Below are 22883 nucleotides of genomic sequence, written 5' to 3'. Positions count from 1 at the left end.
GGGGAAATGAACTCAGTTAACCCTTCCTACTCCCCTCTGCTGGGCTCAAACCCTTCATTGTGTTGGAACAGAGAGGAGGGAGGAAGAGGACAAGAGTCCCTTATTTAACTAACTGGTTTTGTTGTTCTGTTGGTTGTTGATACTTCCCTGTCCAACACTGACTGCCTGATCACTGATGCCCACTGGATGGCGAGTGTCTAAATTTTCGATTTCATGGGGGTAGAGGCTCCAAGGCGGAAGCCTCCTCAGGGCTGGTTCCTTGGCATTGGAGGTCTGGCTTTAGTTCAATCACCCTCAATTTCCCTGCTCCCAGCTCCTGTGCCAGGCCATCCACTTCATATCCTGCTGCTGCCATGGTTTCCTTCTGTACTTGAGACTCTGGGTGGCTTCCAGTAAAATGATTTAAGTCTAACTACTTCGAGCAATGTCTGTTTGACCCATGAAACCTCACACACATTTTTATCAATTCAGACAGTGAGAGCAAAGCTGCTTGGAAATTAAAGAAATTGAAAGCAAACACACAGGAAAAGAAGAAGTAAAATTGCCTTATACTTGGAGACAACATGATTATCTATTTAGAAAATTCTACAGGATCTACAAAAGAGCTGCTATAATAAATGAGTTCATTAAGGTTGTTGGATACAAGGTCAATATACAAAAACTAGTTATAGTTCTGTGTACTAAGAATTAGCAATTGAAAATCAAAATATCATTTATAGTAATATCGAGACACAGGAAATACTTAGAAATAAATTTGACAATAGATATGCAAGACCTGTACACTAAAAACTATAAAGTATTGCTGAGATCAATTAAAGAAGATCTTAGTTGAGTGGGGAATATATATCATGTTCATGAGTCAAAACATAATATTGTTAAAACAACATTCTCTTAAGTAATCTATAGGTTCAACACACTCAAATTGCAATTCCAGAAGGCTTTTCTTTGTAGACATTGACAGACTGATTTAAAATATATATGGAAGTTCGAGGGGCTTTGAATAGTCAAATCAAAATTTTAAAAATAGGAACAAAGTTGAATGGCTAACACTACCTGATTTCAAGGCTTACTATTATAGGTAGTTATAGTAATCAAAACAATGTGTTACTGGTGTCAAGATAAACCAAAGATCAATGAAGCAAAACAGAGAATCCAGAAATGATCAGTACATAGAAACCTATTTTTGGTAATGATGCTATGACAAGCAAATTAGGAAATGATGATCTTTTCAAGAAATGGCTCTGCAATAATTAGATATTCATATGCAAAAACTACAAAAAACCCCCCCAAAAAACAGAATGTTGATCTCTACCTCATATCGTACATAAAAATCAACTCAAAATAGATTATAGACCCATTGTCAAATCTAAAACTGCAAAACTTCTGGAGAAAAACACAGGTGAGAAAATCTTAGTGACGATAGATTTGCAAAATTTTAAATATTCTACAAAAGCATGAACTCTAATTATAACACTGTTAAAAAAATGAAAAGATGAGCCACAAATTGGGAAAAAATGTTTGTAAAACATGTATCTAACAAAGGACCTGCACCTAGAATATATGAAGCTATCTTACAACTCAATAATAAAAAGAGGGACAACCCAATTAAAAATGGTCAAGATTTAAACAGACTCTTCACCAAAGAAGATAGAAAGATGGCAAATAAGCACATGCAAAGAGGCTTACTAACTTTAGACTTTAGGGAAATGCAAATTAAATCCACAGTGAGATACCCCTACACTCTCATTAGAATGGCTGAAATGGATCTCATTGAAGATGGTGGTGCAATCTGTGTCCAGCATTATCAGAAGAGTCTTTATGTGGACAGTCTCAGGGGCACCTGAAGAGAATTTTGGTCTCAATCCAGAAAAGAGAAAGAGCCAGTGGTTGCTGAGACAGTAAAAGAGGTGAAAAAAGAACCTATCCCAGTGCGTCCACCCTTACGAAGCCAAACATATACACCACCTGAAGGTCTCCAGAGTCGTTTGGAATCTTTATGTTAAATAAGTTTTTGGCTCATGTTTTCCTAGTAATTGGCAAGACATTTCCCTGGAAGATGGTTGTCTACAGTTCAATCTTTTGGCACATTTAGCTTATGACTTGGGTCATGTAGTCCCTAATTCCAGACTCCACCAGTTGTGCAGGATTAGAGATGTTCTTGGTTTCTATAATGTCCCTATTCAAGATAGATCTAAATTTTATGAACTCAATGCCAGTAATCTGCCCCCCAATTTGAAAATCACTTGGAGTTACTAAGCAATTCAGAAGAGAAATACATTGAAATCATTTTATCCCCCTGAGCAAGGGGGCTGCTTTTTAGGCTTTTTGATACTTTGCCATGTGAAATATTATCAGAACTGTTCTCTAAACCCACTTTTTCTATAGAGGAATGTATCATCTCTTTTTTTCTCATATTATGAATGGATAAAGAATAATAGGATTTTCTATTTTCATATTTGCTGAAATCATTTTTTAAATGAAATTAGGTCATTAATAATTTATGAAAAACTTTGAGAGGACACTGTCATTAACTTGGGTGTGAGACAGGAGGATATTACAAGCTCAGACCCTTCATAGGCATAAAGTAGTAGTAGTAGTTGCAAGAAAATATGTTCATCCTTTTAGGGCTCATATCTAAGATAGGTTATTATATATTACAAATATACAAATAAACTTGTATTACATAGATACCTATGAAAGAAACATAAAACGATGTTGTATATTACTGACCATTCTAGATTAATTTCTTTTGAAATTAAAGGTTGGTTAAAGTGTTAAAAAATGGCTGAAATGAAAGCAACTGACTATACCAATTGTGTCTGAGTCTGTGAAGTAACTGGAAGTCTCATACACTGATGGTGGGGATGTGAAGTGTTGTTATTGCTTTAGAAAACAGCTTGGCAGTTTAAAAGTTAAGCATACGCTTACCGTATGACCCAGTCATTCCACTCTTAGGTACTTATCTAAGGGAAAAAAAAGCATATGTCCAAACAAAAACTGTACATAAATATTCATAGTGATTCACTACATAATAGTCCCAAACTGAAAACAACCCGAGTGGTCCATCAACAGGTGAGTGGATAGGCAACTTGTGCTATAGCTACAAAATGGAATATTGCTCAACTGTAACAAAGGATGAACTCTTGATACACATAAGAATATGATGAATATCAAAATAATTATGCCAAGAGAAAAAATGAAACTATCTTTGCAGATTATGACAGTGAGAGAAGTCTAGCATGGCTGACTCCGTCTTGCTTCTAGCTTCACAGGCTGGCTGTCTTTGCTCATCCCGGAGCATAGACCAAACTAAACATTGGAGGAATTTAGTTTACAGTTCAACTTTGAAGCAAGGATAATAATAGGTCCTTCCCTAAAATGAACCTCCTTCTTGCTCAGAGACTGAAACCACCTTTCTTACGACTAATGAAAGGTCACAAGATTAGAATTATGGGAGGGACCTAAATTCTTCTGAAATGCCGATGTAGTTAAATGATAACCAGCTATTGTCTCCTAGCTTGCTTTTCTATAATTCCTTGCTGCTCAAGTCATGTCATCAGAGGTCACAAGATTTGTTACTTCCCTTATGGCTCCTATAGATAACATCACTATTGTAGAACTTAAGATTGGTCTTTTGAGACGTTTTTTAGACTTTTGCATTCTGGCAACTGACCGACTCCATCTGGGCCTGGGACTCATGACTCAACTGTTACTGTGGACCTCACTGAGAGATGGATTCAGTGCACAAGGGCTGTTTTCTACACTCCTATATTTCACCCTCAACCAACCAGAAGCACCCATTCCCTAGGCCCCTGCCCATCAGATCATTCATAAAAACCCTAATCTCTGAGTTCTTGGGGAGACCAATTTGAATAATAACTCCAGTCCTTTTGCATGGGTAGCTCTGCATTAATTAAACTATTTCTTTACTGCAATACCATGGTCTCAGTGAATTGGTTTTGTCTGTGCAGCAGGCAAGAATAACCCATTAGGGGATTACAGAAAGCCAAACAAAACAAGTAGATAATTTATAATTCCATTTATGTAAAATTTTGGAAAATGCAGATGAATCGAAAGCAGATCAGTGGTTGCTTAAGAAAAAAGTGGAGAGGAAAAAGAGACATTGAGGGGTGTAGAAAAGGATTACAAAGAGATGTAAGAAAACTTTTTGGGGTGATGAAAATCATTACACTGATTGTGGTTTCGCTGGTGTGTATATATGTCAAGAATCATCAAAACATGTAGTAAATATGTATAGTTTATTATATGCCAATTATATCTCAGTAAAGCTGGGGAAAAGTTTTAAGAAGCAAGAAAAATATTGTGTATTCTATGATACTATTTTTATGATACTATTTTCATAAAAGTCATATCACACATATGGGCATACATTAATAAAGGATTGGAAGAATATATTCTAACATATTAGCTGTGATTTGATTTCCTGAATATTCCAAATTTTCTATAATAATCATTTATTTCTTTGTAATGAGAATCAATTAAAATTATTTGCCTGGTGAGTAGAGCATAGGCAATATTCTCATACTCTAAGACAATGAACAAGACTCTTTGAATTAATTGTAGAATCTTAAAGACTATCTTGTCTCTTCCCCTTATTTTACAAAAGAGGAAACTGAGGCCCAGGGGAGGGAATAGATTTGCCAAAAGGCACAGAATAAAGTAATGATACTACTGAGACTAGAATGCAAATATGGGGACATCCTTGTAGAATTTGTTATACTGTATTATATTTTCTTTTATTTTAAATTGCACTTTTCCTATTTTGACTTAATTTTAGACTTATAGAAAATGTATAAATTCAGCATATTTCTTATATGCCTTTCACCCGGCCTTCTCTATTGTTAACATATTGTATAACCACATAACAATTATGAAAACTAAGAAATTAACATTGATATAATCCTATTAATATAATTTTAGACTTTATTTAGATCATATATATATATATATATATATATATATATATATATGTATTTTTTTTTTTTTTTTTACTGATGTCCTTATTTTCCTGTTCCAGAAACTTGTCCAGGATCCCACATTGCTTTTAATTGTCTCTTCTCCAATCTGTGACAGTTTCTCAGTTTTTCCTGGTCTTTCATGATCTTGACAGCTGTAAAGAATTCAGGTCAGACGTTTTGTAGAACATTTCTCAATCTGGGCTTGTCTAATATGTTTCAAGGTTAGACTGAGGTTTTGCATTTTGGGAAGGATACCAAAAAGGCAATGTTCCCTTTTTAGTGCATCGCATCCTAAAAGGGTATATGACTTCGTCAATAAGTTTTGTTAATAGTGATGCCCACCTTGATTGCTTGGTTAGGTGGTGTTTGCCCCTTTCTCCACTGTGCAGTTATTGTTTTTTCCTTGCACTTAATAAGTATTTATTTTGGAGAAGATACATTGGGACCATGCAAATACTCTATTTCTTTTTAAATCTTTGCCCATGAATTTTAGTAGTTGTCAGTGGATTGAGCCAGCCGCCATTATTATTGTTGTGGTAGTCTAATGATGATATACTATTTCTTCATACTTTCTACATTTATTAATTGGAATTTTTCTGAAAGAAACAGTGGTTCTTCCTTTTCCCATTTATTTCTTTATTCATTAAAAAATTAATATCAGGATGGACTCATGAATATTTATTTTATTCTTTTTATTCTAATCCCAAACTATCATTCTTTATTTTGTTCAAATTATTCAAACTTTGGCTGTTGGGAGCACTTTTGGGTTGGCCCCTGTGCCTTTCATCATGTCTTCATCATCATCTTTTTTTGTTTGTTTTTTTTAAGTCAGAGTCTTGCTCTGTCGCCCAGGCTGGAATGTGGTGGCACGATCTCGGCTCACTGCAATCTCCGCCTCCCGGGTTCAAGCGATTCTTCTGCCTCAGCCTCCTGAGTAGCTGGGACTACACGCGCGCACCACTACCCCCGGCTAATTTTTGTATTTTTAGTAGAGATGGGGTTCCACCATGTTGACCAGATGGTCTCGATCTATTGACCTTGCGATTTGCCCCCCTTGGTCTCCCAAAGTGCTGGGATTACAGGCATGAGCCACCGTGCCCAGCCATCTTCATCATTTTTTCGAGCACTTCTTTACTTTCTGATATCACAAAATGAAGCAGGCTTATTTTTATGTTTTCCCTGATACAGCCCTGAAATTAACTATTAAATACTTCTCCAAGGATCTCTAGTTCTTTGTACTGGAGAATGATATTTAGAAACCAAGATCTGGGCACTTATGAGTTCATTACTATTGGAATGTTGCTGTTTCTAGGCTCTCCCAGTGGGCAAAACTAGAAAATACATTTGCTATTTGTGTATGTATGTATGTATATCTACAACTCATGTGGCATTTATTTGAGTTGTGTGAGCCTATTTTTATTGGTTAAATTTAATAATTTAAAACATTTAACAGGTAAAGTAAAATTTAGTCATGACTGAACAGATATTCATTATCTGGTGGTTTGTGCTCTTTCTTCAAATTATTTACCATTAAGAGGTTACTGATATTTTTCACTGCAGTCCCTTCTTTATTTATCAAATAGCTATCTTATGTTTGTTTAGAGTGATTTTAGCTAGTGCTTGAGTATGAGAAAGGAATTCTTTTCATTTAGAAAACATATCCTTAAACCCTGATTCATATATTAGGAACTGTCTTTTTCAAGTTACAAATGAAGCAGAACACTGCAAATAAAAAGAAGTCCAAATAGCAAAACCCAAGTGTTTCCGGAATTTTCCTTGAGAACGAAGTAGAAATTTTAAGTTGAATTCTATGAAGGTTAGAAGCAGTCAAATATTGTCAATTTCATTTGGTTCAAAAGGCTGGAAGTGGAGATAGAAGCCTGTTGGGATACTGATCAGTCTCTGCTACCTCTAGGCCTTTACCATCCTGTAGGAACCCTCAGCTGGAAGATATAACCTTCCTTGTGAATACCAGGATGAACCAAACCTACCCATAGAAGAAAGAGCTGGATAGGAAGACATCAAAACTGCTTCCAGAGTAAAAAGCACACTAGAAGAACATGGACTGGCATAGGTGTCCTCACTTCTGTGTGTTCACAGCACAGTTTTCAATATTGGCATTTATGCCAGAAGTTTTATTGAGATCAAGTAGCACAGAAATCAATAATAATTTTACTTATATAGTTTATAATATATTTATTATATAATTTATATTTATTATATAATTAAATATATCACACATACAATCAAATATATTACATATAATTACTTAGAATAATAATTATAATTGTAATTGTTTTATTTGTATAAGTATGTATAATATTTTAATTGCAATAATTATAATACAGTGTAGCCTCACACTGACACAAAAAGCATCCAACTTTATTGTGATATTTAAATACTCTTGTAGTGCTGTTGTTATTAGAGTAGAACCAGTTCTGCCCTGACCACCCTCTCTTACACAGTCACATTGCAAAGTTCTTGCTTGTTGTACCAAATACTTAATTTTTTACTGGCGTAAACTTAACCCTGTAACTCTTATCCTTGACTTTCAATATGTTATACTCGATATTAAATAGCATTACATGACCTGCTAAGCTTGCGGTTGAGTCTGACTGATACTGCTATAACAGTATAAATGTGTTAGTACAAATTTTAGGGTGATCAAAGTTGAACACAAATGTGAAGGGTTTGAGATGATCAATAAATGGTTTGTGAAAATTCTCTCTTGAATTAGTGGCAACGGTGACACCCAAGCCCAGTCTTCCCAACAATCAATCTAGTGCTCTTTCTTCTGGATTAGAATCCTCAAAATAATTTTCTGTAGCACATTGGAGTATCAAATACGTGAATTTTTCTCAAGGTGCTGGGAATGTCTTCCAGTTGAATGAGATGAAGTCCATGTCTTCAAGAAGCTTATAGTAGAGTGTATAATTTTGCAAACTAAACTACCTTTGGCTGATTACTTAACTCCAATGAACTTCAGTTTGGTTGTCTGTAAATAACAATAGCTAACCCTTACCGCTCTTACTCTTTGCCAGAAATTGCACTAGGAGAAACTCATGCTAACCTTATGCAATCAGTATTCTTCTTCTTCTCTTTTTAAAGACTCAAGTCATTAATGCTTGAGGGTATTGCTGTACTGGTAAATGTCTAATAACCAGTTTTCCCAAAATATTCATATATACATACACAAATTATTACAATTTTATTGTTCAGAATTTGTAGCCACATTTAAAAACTATCATAAAAATACTCTTCATTGTGAATTCCACATAGCTAACTGATTCTGCCAGAATTTTTTGTTGATTTTTGTCTAATTCTTGTATCCTTAGCCAAATGTTGTAATTCAACAATGATTTGACAAATGAAGTTGCATCCAATGCTTTAATTCTTTTCACAATAAATTTATTGTCATTAAGTATTATATTCGGCCCACTGTTAGCCTATTTCTCATATGCATACAAATTCATTAAACTAAATATAATGTCATGTATTGGAACTTTACTTATTCCATCTGTCAATGACATGAGTGACTTCTTTGTTGAATGAGAGAATAATATTCGAACATTGAGAGAATATTTTCTTAATGTTTTGTGTCATGCATAATGTAATGGCTATAGATGTGACACAGCAGAAAGAGGTAAATCCATAAAGTTAGCAGATTGCTGGTTGCCTAGGGCTGAGGGGAGGCGGAAATGGGGAGCACCGGCTTTATGGGTATGAGGTTTTATTTTGGAATGATGAAAATGTTTTGGAACTAGATAGAGGAAGTAATTTCACTACATTGTGAATGTACTAAATGCCACTGATATGTACACTTTTAAGTCCTTAATTTTATGTTATGTGAATTTAACATCAATTTTTAAAAAACCTCTCTATTGGATTCTTATAAAGATATTACGAAAAAAATAAGGAGATACTCTGTGAACCATAAGGAGTATTGCAAATGTAGTTCTCCTACTTGTAAAAATGTATTTGCACAAGGTCTCATTCTCTCAGGTCCTTACCAAGGCATCATCTGATATTATAAATTTACCTAGACATGTAAATGTCTAGGTATTTATTTATTTATTTATTTGTTATCTCTCTCAGCAAGAGTTTGAATTTTAATCTAACTCTTTGAGGCTTAAATCAAACTAGATTATAATTGACAAAATTTAGTAAAAGTGGAAGAGCATGCATGGATCATATTTGACATGCGAGGAGCTCCTTTGTTTTTTTGCTCCATACCTTCACTATGTAAGCAGGTGGCCTTTTTTGCTTAACTATATAGTTGGCTTTGCTGTTTTTTTTCTCTTATGACGTGTGGGAATTGGTTTGGATAGTTAGGCAAACTTTCAAGCAATTATTTTAGTGGGGTGAAGAGAAACTACTTTAGAACTGTTGTGAGTTCAGAAAAATATAAATGCTTTTAGGTTTATTTTGCTTACTTTCAAAATAAAAGCATTTTTATTGAGTCCTTTAGGAAAAATGTATATTCCTATAACCAGGTTGCAGAACAACATAGAAGACTACCAATGAGAAAATGGTCATTTTGTGGGGTATTTTTTTTTTTTTTTTTTTTTTTTTTGCTACTAGAAATGTTTCATAATCTTTGAGATATAACACTACTGGGGAGGTTTTATATCTTTTTATTCTAGAAAGTGATTGAAGACCATAAGAAGAACCAGGTAGGCTTCATATATCCTTTATATGTCTATAATTGGATATTATTGATAATAAGACTGAAACTTTGTCTAATTTATATCTAATTGTAATTCTAACACTTGGCATACCCTACTCCTATGGAATTTGGCCATCAGGGCAAAGTTACGTAAACAACAGAGAAGGTACAAAATAAATCAGGATATATGTGGTCCCTATTAATATCTACCCTTGTGTAAACAGGGAATTTGAACTTTATTTTTTTTTCCGTTCTTACCTGAAGAACTGGGAAGGGAATGATTTTGTGGTGCAGTGTTTATATACTTCAGCAACCTCTGCTCCTAGAGGGAATTCACCAGGTCTAGGAGAATGTCAGAGCACTGTTTTATCTGAGAACAAATGTTAAAGAAATGTCTTACTATAGCTGAAATAAAATCTGAAAATCACTTTCAATCTTTTTCTAACTTTATTTTTTTATTAAGTCTCCTAGGTGGAACAACATGAATCTCTGATTAGCTACATGAAAATGCTAACTTCTTGTGGAAGTATATTAGTTTCTTGACTCCAAAACTTCCCAAAAAATATACAATGAAATCTACAGAAACTGAGGCTAAAATTCTATGCTTTATTCTGCTGTTTGATCTTTTCTTCTTACCAATCCTCAAAGTAGAGCTTAAATCCATCATCATTATCCATTTCTGCTTCACTTAAACATTTATTGACCACTGAGGGACGCACAGGAATATGATATAAAACACAATCCTTTAAGTAAATTATTTTACAATTTAGTTGGGGAGTAGTTGTACCGGGTTGGATAATGTTCTCAAATTCATGCTTTTCCTGGAATATTAGAATGTGAATTTTATTTGGAAATAGGGTAATTGTAGATGTAATTAGGTACAATGTGGTCATACTGGAGTAGGGTGGACCTGTATTCCAGTATGACTGGTGTCATTATGACACAAAGAGAAGAGACACAGAGACAAAAAACATTGGAAGGATGCATGTGAAGATGGAGGTGGAGACTGGAATGATGTGCCTGCAAGCCAAATAACCGCAGGGTTTACTGTCAACACCAGAAGCTCAGAGAAACACATGGAACAAATTTTCCTCTAGAGCCTATAAAGACAGTGTGAGTCTGCCTACACCTTGATTTTGGGTTTTTAGACCCCAGAACTGTGAGAGAATACATTGCTGTTATTTTAAGCTATCAAGTTTGTGGTTCTTGCTTATAGCAGCCATAGGAAACTAATATAATAGTCATAAAAATAAAGCTGTTATTATTAAATACTGCGATGTTCCAGGTTCTGGTTCTTTGAGTTCCTTCCCACTCTAAGGTATTACTAGGTGTTATCACTATTGTCCCCAGAAGAGCAAATGGAGAGTCAGAGAAGCCTAACAACTTGTTAATGTCACTCTGCAAGTAGCTCCAACCCTTGTCAGTTTGTCTCCATGGACCAGTCTCTTCAATACGGGAGGACGGCCCATATAAGCAGGCAGAAGGCAAAATGAGAGGCAAGAAGGGAGTAGGCCCCCAAGCTGGGAATAGTCCAGATGTTCACGAATAGCAGTGGTACATTGTGAATTGTGGTACATCCATGTGATGGAATACTACTCAGCAATACTAGAGCAAACATCTATAGCATGCAACAGTATGGATGAATCTTAAATGCAATATTCTGAGTGAAACAAGCCATACACAAGAGAGTGCATACTATATGATTCCAATTATATGAACTCGTAGAATACGCAGAACTAACCTATGGTGAAAAAACTTGAAAAGGTGATTGCCTATTGTGTGGAAGATGGTTTGCTGGAAACTGGGCACTGAGGTCCCCATTCGGTGGTTCAGGGTGGCAGTAGCCTGCTCCCTGCTCTGGGTACCCATATATGTCCACACAACTGGGAGTGGAAGAGCCTGTAAATGTCACAGGATCAGGTATGAAACAGTCCCATGTGCCAGTTTTGCTGGCCATTGCTTCTTTTCTTTTTTTTTTTTTTTATACTTTAAGTTTTAGGGTACATGTCCACAATGTGCAGGTTAGTTACATATGTATACATGTACCATGCTGGTGTGCTGCACCCATTAACTCATCATTTAGCATTAGGTATATCTTCTAATGCTAACCCTCCTCCCTCCCCCCACCCCACAACAGTCCCCAGAGTGTGATGTTCCCCTTCCTGTGTTCATGTGTTCTCATTGTTCAGTTCCTATCTATGAGTGAGAACATGCGGTGTTTGGTTTTTTGTCCTTGCGATAGTTTACTGAGAATGATGATTTCCAATTTCATCCATGTCCCTACAAAGGACATGAACTCATCATTTTTTATGGCTGCATAGTATTCCATGGTGTATATATGCCACATTTTCTTAATCCAGTCTATCACTGTTGGACATTTGGGTTGGTTCCAAGTCTTTGCTATTGTGAATAGTGCCGCAATAAACATACGTGTGCATGTGTCTTTATAGCAGCATGATTTATAGTCCTTTGGGTATATACCCAGTAATGGGATGGCTGTGTCAAATGGTATTTCTAGTTCTAGATCCCTGAGGAATCGCCACACTGACTTCCACAAGGGTTGAACTAGTTTACAGTCCCACCAACAGTGTAAAAGTGTTCCTATTTCTCCACATCCTCTCCAGCACCTGTTGTTTCCTGACTGTTTAATGATTGCCATTCTAACTGGTGTGAGATGGTATCTCATTGTGGTTTTGATTTGCATTTCTCTGATGGCCAGTGATGATGAGCATTTTTTCATGTGTCTGTTGGCTGCATAAATGTCTTCTTTTGAGAAGTGTCTGTTCATATCCTTTGCCCACTTTTTGATGGGGTTGTTTGTTTTTTTCTTGTAAATTTGTTTGAGTTCATTGTAGATTCTGGATATTAGCCCTTTATCAGATGAGTAGGTTGCGAAAATTTTCTCCCATTTTGTAGGTTGCCTGTTCACTCTGATGGTAGTTTCTTTTGCTGTGCAGAAGCTCTTTAGTTTAATCAGATCCCATTTGTCAATTTTGGCTTTTGTTGCCATTGCTTTTGGTGTTTTAGACATGAAGTCCTTGCCCATGCCTATGTCCTGAATGGTAATGCCTAGGTTTTCTTCTAGGGTTTTTATGGTTTTAGGTTTAACATTTAAGTCTTTAATCCATCTTGAATTAATTTTTGTATAAGTTGTAAGGAAGGGATCCAGTTTCAGCTTTCTCCATATGGCTAGCCAGTTTTCCCAGCATCATTTGTTAAATAGGGAATCCTTTCCCCATTGTTTGTTTTTCTCAGGTTTGTCAAAAATCAGATAGTTGTAGATATGCGGCGTTATTTCTGAGGGCTCTGTTCTGTTCCATTGATCTATATCTCTGTTTTGGTACCAGTACCATGCTGTTTTGGTTACTGTAGCCTTGTAGTATAGTTTGAAGTCAGGTAGCGTGATGCCTCCAGCTTTGTTCTTTTGGCTTAGGATTGACTTGGCGATGCAGGCTCTTTTTTGGTTCCATATGAACTTTAAAGTAGTTTTTTCCAATTCTGTGAAGAAAGTCATTGGTAGCTTGATGGGGATGGCATTGAATCTATAAATTACCTTGGGCAGTATGGCCATTTTCACGATATTGATTCTTCCTACCAATGAACATGGAATGTTCTTCCATTTGTTTGTATCCTCTTTTATTTCATTGAGCAGTGGTTTGTAGTTCTCCTTGAAGAGGTCCTTCACGTCCCTTGTAAGTTGGATTCCTAGGTATTTTATTCTCTTTGAAGCAATTGTGAATGGGAGTTCACTCATGATTTGGCTCTCTGTTTGTCTGTTACTGGTATATAAGAATGCTTGTGATTTTTGTACATTGATTTTGTATCCTGAGACTTTGCTGAAGTTGCTCATCAGCTTAAGGAGATTTTGGGCTGAGACGGTGGGGTTTTCTAGATATACAATCATGTCATCTGCAAACAGGGACAATTTGACTTCCTCTTTTCCTAATTGAATATCCTTTATTTCCTTCTCCTGCCTAATTGCCCCGGCCAGAACTTCCAACACTATGTTGAATAGGAGTGGTGAGAGAGGGCATCCCTGTCTTGTGCCAGTTTTCAAAGGGAATGCTTCCAGTTTTTGCCCATTCAGTATGATATTGGCTGTGGGTTTGTCATAGACAGCTCTTATTATTTTGAGATAATTGTTTCTAGTGCCTAGCACTGTCTTGGCGCATAACAGTCCCTCAATAAATATTTGTGAAACAAGAGAACCCACTCACAAACTGGGTATGCCTACATACCGATGTTCGTTATCCCTGAATTCCTGCAATGTGTGCCACGTAATTAGGCACTTGATTATATACCATATGTCAATGTTCTCTAATGTGTGGCATTTTATCACCCCAATCATCTGTACTAATGCAGTGAGAGAAAGAGTGAGAGAGAGCGAGAGAGAGAAAGGATATGTGATTTGAAAGGTTCTGAGATGATTACTGAGATTGCGTAGCAAACCAATAGAATGGTCGTGCAGACTCTGTGCCAGTGATTCTAGAATTGCTGAAAGTTTGCAATGACAATTCAAAACAAGTAAATAAATGTTTCTAGCACTGTGCTGGGCGCTGGGGGAGAGTACAAGAGAGGCAGAATACATGGCCTTAGAGCTGAAGGACTTCATCTCCCCACTGGGAACTAAGGTAAGTGAGAATGTCATCGGCACACTGCCAGGAAATGTGGCTGGAATATCACTGCTCTGCTTCCTGTCCGCTCATGGTGGACATCCCTACTCAGCCATGGCGTCATGGGACTCTTTCCTACGAGGCCCCAAACTAGCTCAGGATGTTTTCCCTCAAAGTCCTTGAGTGAGCCACACTAAACAACTGGCATCAGTAGGCGAGATGAACACTGAAAGCGCTGAAAGTTGAAGGGAGGCAGTCATGATGAGATCGACGTGGGTTTCAGGGGTCTGGGGAGGCTTCATGGAGATGGTGAGTTGATGAGAACACAAATTATGTCTTCACGCACGGGCTCTGTACCAGCGATAGATCTGAGGGTCTCATACTAGAAGCCTACAGCATCCTAGGTAGCTTCAGCTCAGCATCCCTCAAGGGCCTGGCTGTCGATCGGCTCCATTTCTGTAGTTTCTGTTACTGACTCTCCTCCGAACCAAAGCTGCCCCTTGCTGAGGCGAACGATGACGTTGCAGGGGTTGGGCCTGGGTTACAGTGGCTGGATACAACCCAGCCAAGGTTTTCTGTCTGTCTGGTTAGCGTGCTTGAGCACTGACTTCCGCGAGTGAAGCGTCTCTGAAAGGGGAGAAAACCAGTGCTGCTGCCACTCCTCCTCACTCTGCAGAATCAGGGTAAGTGGAGCTTCTCTGTGCCCAGAACAGCCCCGAGCTGTGTGGTGTGCCTGTAATACAGCACAATCAAAGGACTGAGCCTCCTACTACTCTGCTTATCGTCTAAGTTTTTTAAAGGCAGAATCTGGAAAGATGGTACCACCACTCAAGAAGAGGGGTTGTTGTTTTGGTTTGTTTAGAGGCACATCTGCTAGGAAAACAAAACAAAACAAAACACAGAATTTGTCTCTTCAAAGTTTGGGCCTCAAAAGGCTTTTACAACTACAGAATCTTTTCAAATAAGAAAGGGCAAAGGCTTTTCCTTTCAACTTTAAGAAAGAGCAGCCATCTTTTTGCTTCAGCCAGCACCCAGCCCTAGTTAATAGTTCAATTTCATACTTTGCCTTTCTCCTACAAGTATATGAGATGGTTTGGAATGAAAAACAAATATCAAGATTATTGAGGAAGAAATGAAACCCAAAATGTGAGGAGATTTGTCTCAGGAGATATTTTCTTTTTTGCTGTTTGATGTTCTTGGGGGATTTTTCCAAAAGCCCAGCACTGCAATCTCACCACTCCCGGCAGTGCCCTGAACTCCTCACCTGCGTGCTCATCTTCCTCTCTGACACCTCACCAGAAAATGTATATTTTAAAATGGGATGTTTGCTGATCTAAAGGAGATATTTCCTATTGTATTCTGAGGTTTTGAGTGAAAGTCAGGGAGGAAAAAAGTTTATTGTCGTAGTCTTCACTAGACCAACACATGACAGGGCCACAGTTAACTCTGCTCATGGTTAAGACTGATCTTGACTTTGATTTCTGAAACTCCTACATGCGCACTTTTCCTCTTGGGTCAGTGTTTTGTATTGGAAAAAAAAAAAACACCTCATTCTCTGCAGTAAAACTTTCCCCAACTTCTTTTTACCGACTTAATGGCTTTTTCTAGAACAGATGATTAGATGAAGCCAGAAAACAGTTTGGCCATAAAGGACATATTGATTCCATCAGATTTGCCAGAACACAACTGCAGAGAAAGGTCTAAAAAAATGAGTTGAGAAATCAAGATGCTGCCGAAGCAATTTCTTGGCCAGGAATCTTTTAGCTGTTGCTTGTTTTAAATTCTTTCATTTTGCATTTCGGGAAGGGAGTCTCAAATTAAAGCCAAAATCCTAAATGCAATAAGATAAGTGCCATTTGCTATGAATTCTGATTATTTCTCTTGAATGAGTAACCAAGAGCCAATTTCTCACATAATAATAATTTTGCATATTAATGAGAAACAGAGTTGATTGGGTTCTACAGAGGCCATTTCTAGCTGAGTTAAAGGAAAAATACCTTAGAGGCAGCAAGGACCTTAGAAAGCATGTAATTTAATCCCTTCATTTTATAGGAACAGAGAGGATGAAAGCCTTGCCCTTGAGCATACAGCTGACTGAGTGCTCAGGGAGGACTTTGATCTGTGTCAAAATGTATCTCAACCAGGTGTATCAATCCTGACTTTCCATTACTAATAAGGCTCTCTGCTATTATTTGCATGGGATTGTGGCAAGGACAAGATTTTATTCCTTAGAACTAATAGTAGAAAATAAAGAAATAATGCCAAATGTGCAGCATTGCCACCCGAGAGGACTTCTTTGTTGACATTCAAAAGCCCATTTTGAATGTAAACAAAGAGTGCCATTTGAACCAGTTTACCTAGTGTTGTAGCCAGCCTTAGTTTTAGAAAAGAGAGTTTTGTGATCTCTGCATACCATGGAAGTGTCTAAATCAACAGACACAGACACTGAACCCAGGGCAAGGCCCTGTCAGAATAAAACATGGAAATGGTGTTGAGATCATATCAACAAAACTATAAAGTAAACATTACAAGGGTTTGCTGCAATGGGATAGTGTATGTGGTGAGGGCACACAGCGTTCCTCAGGCTGACCTGCCCCTGGGTATGAAACACCATCCCTCCCAGCAGGCTGAAAAGCTGCAGCCACACCAGGCACTGAAATGAGACCCCTTGAGGCCACAGGCCACAGCTTCTTCCTCTCCCATCATCTAGGAAGGGCAGATTGCCTGTGGTCGGGACACAAATAAATGGCCAATTCCCTTCCGAGCTAGTCTAACCTTCAGTGTCATAACTCAGCTAATGGACTAACTTTAGAATGCTGCAAATGATAAAACCCATGTTTTCATTGGCATTTTTGTTGTAGAAACAAATATGCTCCCAACACACTATTCTGTAATATACATATTGCATTATCCACTACAGATTTTTAAATTACTATTTTACTTTAAGGTTTATACTGAAATATTGCTAACATTACTTCTGTTGTCATCTATTATTTAATGAGTGTATTCCAGCTGGACAGAAAGACAGGGCTAGCTGTTTCCTGTCTGACTCATTGTTGCTAACAGTTGTCAGGGAAGCAAAAACGTTCAGTCTATTGATGTACTCCAGCTGTGCAACTTTGGATATTGTATTTCTACTGAAAAAAGAGCTGGTGACTTTTTCTAATGCCTCTGCCATTAAAAAAAAAAGACAGTTTATTGTCATGGGATGCCAATTATCAGTTTTTTAAAAACGTTAAAAATCTATGATGAATTGAATTACTCTCTTGCTAACACCATTGAGTTGTGTTGAAAGGAGCTTTAGATTCTCAAAATCATTGTCAAACTTCATGTAGAAGGTTTCCTGCTAACTCCAAACACCCAACCTTCAAACCAAAGACTAATATTTTATTCATTGAACAAGTTTTTCTATTATTAAAACAGCTTTATTGAGATATATTTGCAGATAATATAATTCATACAATTAAATGTTTTTTAGTATATTTACAGACTTGTGTAATCATCATCACCATAATCAATTTTAGAACATTTTCATTACCCTAGAAAGAAGTCCCATTCTCCTTAGCTATCACCACCCCCTATTTCCCCAACTTATCCCAAGGCTTAGGCGATCACTAATTTCCTTTCTGTTTCAATTGCTTTGCCTATTCTGGGAGTTTCATATAAATGAAATTATACAATATGTGGTCCTGTGTGACTAACTTCTTTTCATTAGCATAATATTTTTACAGTTTATTCATATTGTAGCATGTATCACTACTTCATTCATTTTTGTGGTTGTGTAATATTCCATTGTACAGGTATACCACATTTTATTTATCCATTCACCTATGAATGGAGATTTTGGTTGTTTTCATTTTTGGCTATTAGGACTAATTCTGCTATGAACATTCATGTATAAGTTTTTCTGTGAACATATGTTTTCATTTTCCTTGGGTATACATCTAGGAGTAGAATTGCTGTGCCATTGGTAATTCTATCTTTAACCTTTTGAAAAATTGCTAGACTATTTTCCAAAATGGCTGTACCACTGGACATTCCCACCAGCGATGTATGGGGGTTCCAATTTTTCCACATATTCCCCGCTTGTTATCATCTATCTTTTTTTCTTATAGCCATCCTAGTGAGTATGTAGTGGACAGTTTCTTAAATCTATTTTTGAAGTGTTGTAATTATGTCCTGAAGCCCAGTTGGATTCTGTGTCAGGGAGGGAGGAAACAGGTAGCACCAACCTGACACATGCTTCCACTGGTCATGCACTGCATGAGGGCGGTGACTGCTCACAGTCCTGCACCCGGGGCTTAGAAGAAGGCCAGGCACATTGTAGGCATGTTCAACTTTTGTAGAATAAATTACTAAATAAGTCAATGGAGAGCCTGCTATGTGCTAGCACCAGTATGGATGCAGAGTTGCAAATGACATGACCCTGCTCCTAAGGAGCTTATATTCTAGAAGGAAGTAGAGTGCCATCATTCCTGAAAGAAAGCGACTGATGACAGGGAGAGGTACATGATAGGTGAAAGCGTACTCATTTCTAAGCCACTAAAGTATAAAGGGTGAAAGCTTGAGTTCCTTTGATCTTAGCCTTATTTGTGAAGTCTGGCTTCCAGGAAATGGTGGGGAAGAACCACCAGTCACCCAAACTGCATGAGTGAGGAAGCCTTCCATCGACAGTTGAAACCTCTCAGACATGAGAGCATCTTTTGTGTTTGTGCGTGTGTGTGTGTGTATTTGTGTGTGTGTGTATGTGTGTGTGTGTGTGTCTGTGGGCTCAGAGTATAACATGATTCTTCTCCTTAAGCTCAGGTTTTTAGTGATTTGCCCATTTTCTTTCTTCCTTTCTGCTTTTTTTCCTCTCTCTTTCTCGCCCTCTCTGTTGTATCCCCTGGCCCCTTCTCTCTCAATCATCTGTGTACCCATCTGTCCTCACCACCTCTCCAACTACACTCTCACCAGCTCCAGGGTATATTTTATATAAATTTCTTCAGCTTTAATACATAATGACCAATCTAAGTGAATAAACCATGATTTCCTTTTTTTATTATTATACTTTAAGTTCTAGGGTACATGTGCACAACGTGCAGGTTTGTTACATAGGTATACATGTGCCATGTTGGTTTGCTGCACCCATCAACTTGTCATTTACATTATTAGTTATTTCTCCTAATGCTATCCCTCCCCCACTCCCCACCCCCCAACAGGTCCCGGTGTGTGATGTTCCCCTCCCTGTGTCCGTGTGTTCTCATTGTTCAACTCCAACTTATGCATGAGAATATGCGGTGTTTGGTTTTCTGTCCTTGTGATAGTTTGCAGAGAATGATGGTTTCCAGCTTCATCTATGTCCCCGCAAAGGACATGAACTCATCCTCTTATATGGCTGCAGAGTATTCCACGGTGTATATGTGCCACATTTTCTTTATACAGTCTATTACTGATGGACATTTGGGGTGGTTCCAAGTCTTTGCTATTGTGAACAGTGCTGGGATAAACATACATGTGCATGTGTCTTTATAGTAGCTTGATTTATAATCCTTTGGGTATATACCCAGTAATGGGATTGCTGGGTCAGATGGTATTTCTAGTTCTAGATCATTGAGGAATCACCACACTGTCTTCTACAATGGTTGAACTAATTTACACTCCCACCAACAGTGTAAAAGCTTTCCTATCTCTCCACATTCTCTCCAGCAACTCTTGCTTCCTGACTTTTTAATGGTTGACATTCTAACTGGTGTGAGATGGTATCTCATTGTGGTTTTGATTTGCATTTCTCTAATGACCAATGATGATGAGCACTTTTTCATATGTTTGTTGGCTGCATAAATGTCTTCTTTTGAGAAGTGTCTGTTCGTATCCTTTGCCCACTTTTTGATGTGTTGTTTAGTTTTTTCTTGTAAATTTATTTAAGTTGTTTGTAGATTCTGGATATTAGCCCTTTGTCAGATGGATAGGTAGCAAAAATTTTCTCCCATTCTGTAGGTTGCCTGTTCACTCTGATGATAATTTCTTTTGCTGTGCAGAAGCTCTTTAGTTTAATTAGATCCCATTTGTCTATTTTGGCTTTTGTTGCCATTGCTTTTGGTGTTTTAGTCATGAAGTCCTTGCCCATGCCTTTGTCCTGAATGGTATTGCCTAGGTTTTCTTCTGGGGTTTTTATGGTTTTAGGACTTACATTTAAGTCTTTAATCCATCTTGAGTTAATTTTTGTATAAGGTGTAAGGAAGGGATCCAGTTTCAGTTTTCTACATATGGCTAGCCAGCTTTTCCAGCACCATTTATTAAATAGGGAATCATTTCCCCATTGCTTGTTTTTGTCAGGTTTGTCAAAGATCAGATGGTTGTAGATGTGTGATGTTATTTCTGAGGCCTCTGTTCTGTTCCATTGGTCTATATCTCTGTTTTGGTACCAGTACCATGCTGTTTTGGTTACTGTGGACTTGTAGTATAATTTGAAGTCAGGTAGTGTGATGCCTCCAGCTTTGTTCTTTTTGCTTAGGATTGTCTTGACACTGGGGGCTCTTTTTTGGTTCCATATGAACTTTAAAGTAGTTTTTTCCAATTCTGTGAAGAAAGTCATTGGTAGCTTGATGGGGATAGCATTGAGTCTATAAATTACCTTGGGCAGTAGGGCCATTTTTGCGATATTGATTCTTCCTATCCATGAGCATGGAATGTTCTTCCATTTGTTTGTGTCCTCTTTTATTTCATTGAGCAGTGGTTTATAGGTCTCCTTGAAGAAGTCCTTCACATCCCTCATAAGTTGGATTCCTAGGTATTTTATTCTCTTTGTAATAATTGTGAATGGGAGTTCACTCATGATTTGGCTCTCTGTTTGTCTGTTCTTGGTGTATAGGAATGCTTGTAATTTTTGCACATTGATTTTGTATCCTGAGACTTTGCTGAAGTTGTTTATCAGCTTAAGGAGATTTTGAGCTGAGATGATGGGGTTTTCTAAATATACAATCATGTCATCTGCAAACAGAGGCAATTTGACTTCCTCCTTTCCTAATTTAATACCCTTTATTTCTTTGTCTTGACTGATTGCCCTGGCCAGAACCTCCAATACTATGTTGAATAGGAGTGGTGAGAGAGGGCATCCCTGTCTTGTGCCAGTTTTCAAAGGGAATGCTTCTAGCTTTTGCCCATTCAGTATGATATTGGCTGTGGGTTTGTCATAAATAGCTCTTATTATTTTGAGATATGTTCCATCAATACCTAGTTTATTGAGAGTTTTTAGCATGTAAGGCTGTTTAATTATGTTGAAGGCCTTTTCTGCATCTATTGAGATAATCATGTGGTTTTTGTCTTTGGTTCTGTTTATTTGATGGATTATGTTTATTGATTTGTGTATGTGGAACGAGCCTCACATCACAGGGATAAAGCTGACTTAATCGTGGTGGATAAGCTTTTTGATGTGCTGCTGGATTCGGTTTGCCAGTATTTTATGAAGGATTTTTGAATTGATGTTCATCAGGGATATTGGTCTAAAATTCTCTTTTTTTGTTGTGTCTCTGCCAGGCTTTCCTATCAATCAGTATGATGCTGGCCTCATAAAATGAGTTAGGGAGGATTCCCTCTTTTTCTATTGATTGGAATAGTTTCAGAAGGAATGGTTCCAGCTCCTCTTTGTACCTCTGGTAGAATTTGGTTGTAAATCCATTTGGTCCTGGACCTTTTTTGGTTGGTAAGCTATTAACTATTGCCTCAATTTCAGAATCTGTTATTGGTCTATTCAGAGATTCAACTTCTTTCTGGTTTAGTCTTGGGAGGGTGTATGTGTCTAGAAATTTATCCATTTCTTCTAAATTTTCTAGTTTATTTGCATAGAGATGTTTATAGTATTCTCCGATGGTAGTTTGTATTGCTGTGGAATTGGTGGTGATATCTCCTTTATCATTTTTTATTGCTTCTATTTGATTCTTCTCTCTTTTCTTCTTTATTAGTCTTGCTAGCGGTCTCTATTTTGTTGATCTTTTCAAATAACCAGCTCCTGGATTCATTGATTTTTTGAAGAGTTTTTTGTATCTCTACCTCCTTCAGTTCTGCTCTGATCTTAGTTATTTCTTGTCTTCTGCTAGCTTTTGAATGTGTTTGCTTTTGCTTCTCTAGTTCTTTTAATTGTGATGTTAGGGTGTCAATTTTAGATCTTTCCTGCTTTCTCTTGTGGGCATTTAGTGCTATAAATTTCCCTCTACACACTGCTTTAAATGTGTCCCAGAGATTCTGGTGCGTTGTGTCTTTGTTCTCATTGGTTTCAAAGAACATCTTTATTTCTGCCTTAATTTCGTTATGTACCCAGTAGTCATTCAGGAGCAGGTTGTTCATTTTCCATGTAGTTGAGTGGTTTTGAGTGAGTTTCTTCATCCTGAGTTCTAATTTGATTGCACTGTGGTCTGAGAGACAGCTTGTTGTGATTTCTGTTCTTTTACGTTTGCTGAGGAGTGTTTTACTTCCAATTATGTGGCCAATTTTAGATTTAGTGCGATGTGCTGCTAAGAAGAGTGTATATTCTGTTGATAGGGTTGGAGAGTTCTGTAGATGTCTATTAGATTTGCTTGGTCCAGAGCTGAGTTCAAGTCCTGGATATCCTTGTTAATTTTCTGTCTCCTTGATCTGCCTAATATT

General features: G+C 37.4%; 1 long non-coding RNA gene and 1 pseudogene across 1 annotated transcript in view; both read left to right on the top strand.

Moving 5' to 3' along the window:
• Positions 1762-2456, top strand: MRPL50P4 (mitochondrial ribosomal protein L50 pseudogene 4; annotated as a pseudogene).
• A 12401-nt stretch (positions 2457-14857) lies between these two features.
• The window catches only part of LOC107984235 (uncharacterized), a 59254-nt gene continuing 51228 nt past the window's right edge, over positions 14858-22883 (top strand). The window contains exon 1 of the long non-coding RNA XR_001747457.1: positions 14858-14941. This is a non-coding gene — a long non-coding RNA (uncharacterized LOC107984235). The remainder of the gene's footprint in view (positions 14942-22883) is intronic.

This window comes from Homo sapiens, chromosome 10 (assembly GCF_000001405.40).
Source record: "Homo sapiens chromosome 10, GRCh38.p14 Primary Assembly".
NCBI lineage: Eukaryota > Metazoa > Chordata > Mammalia > Primates > Hominidae > Homo > Homo sapiens.
This window is presented reverse-complemented; position numbering and strand designations above follow the sequence as displayed.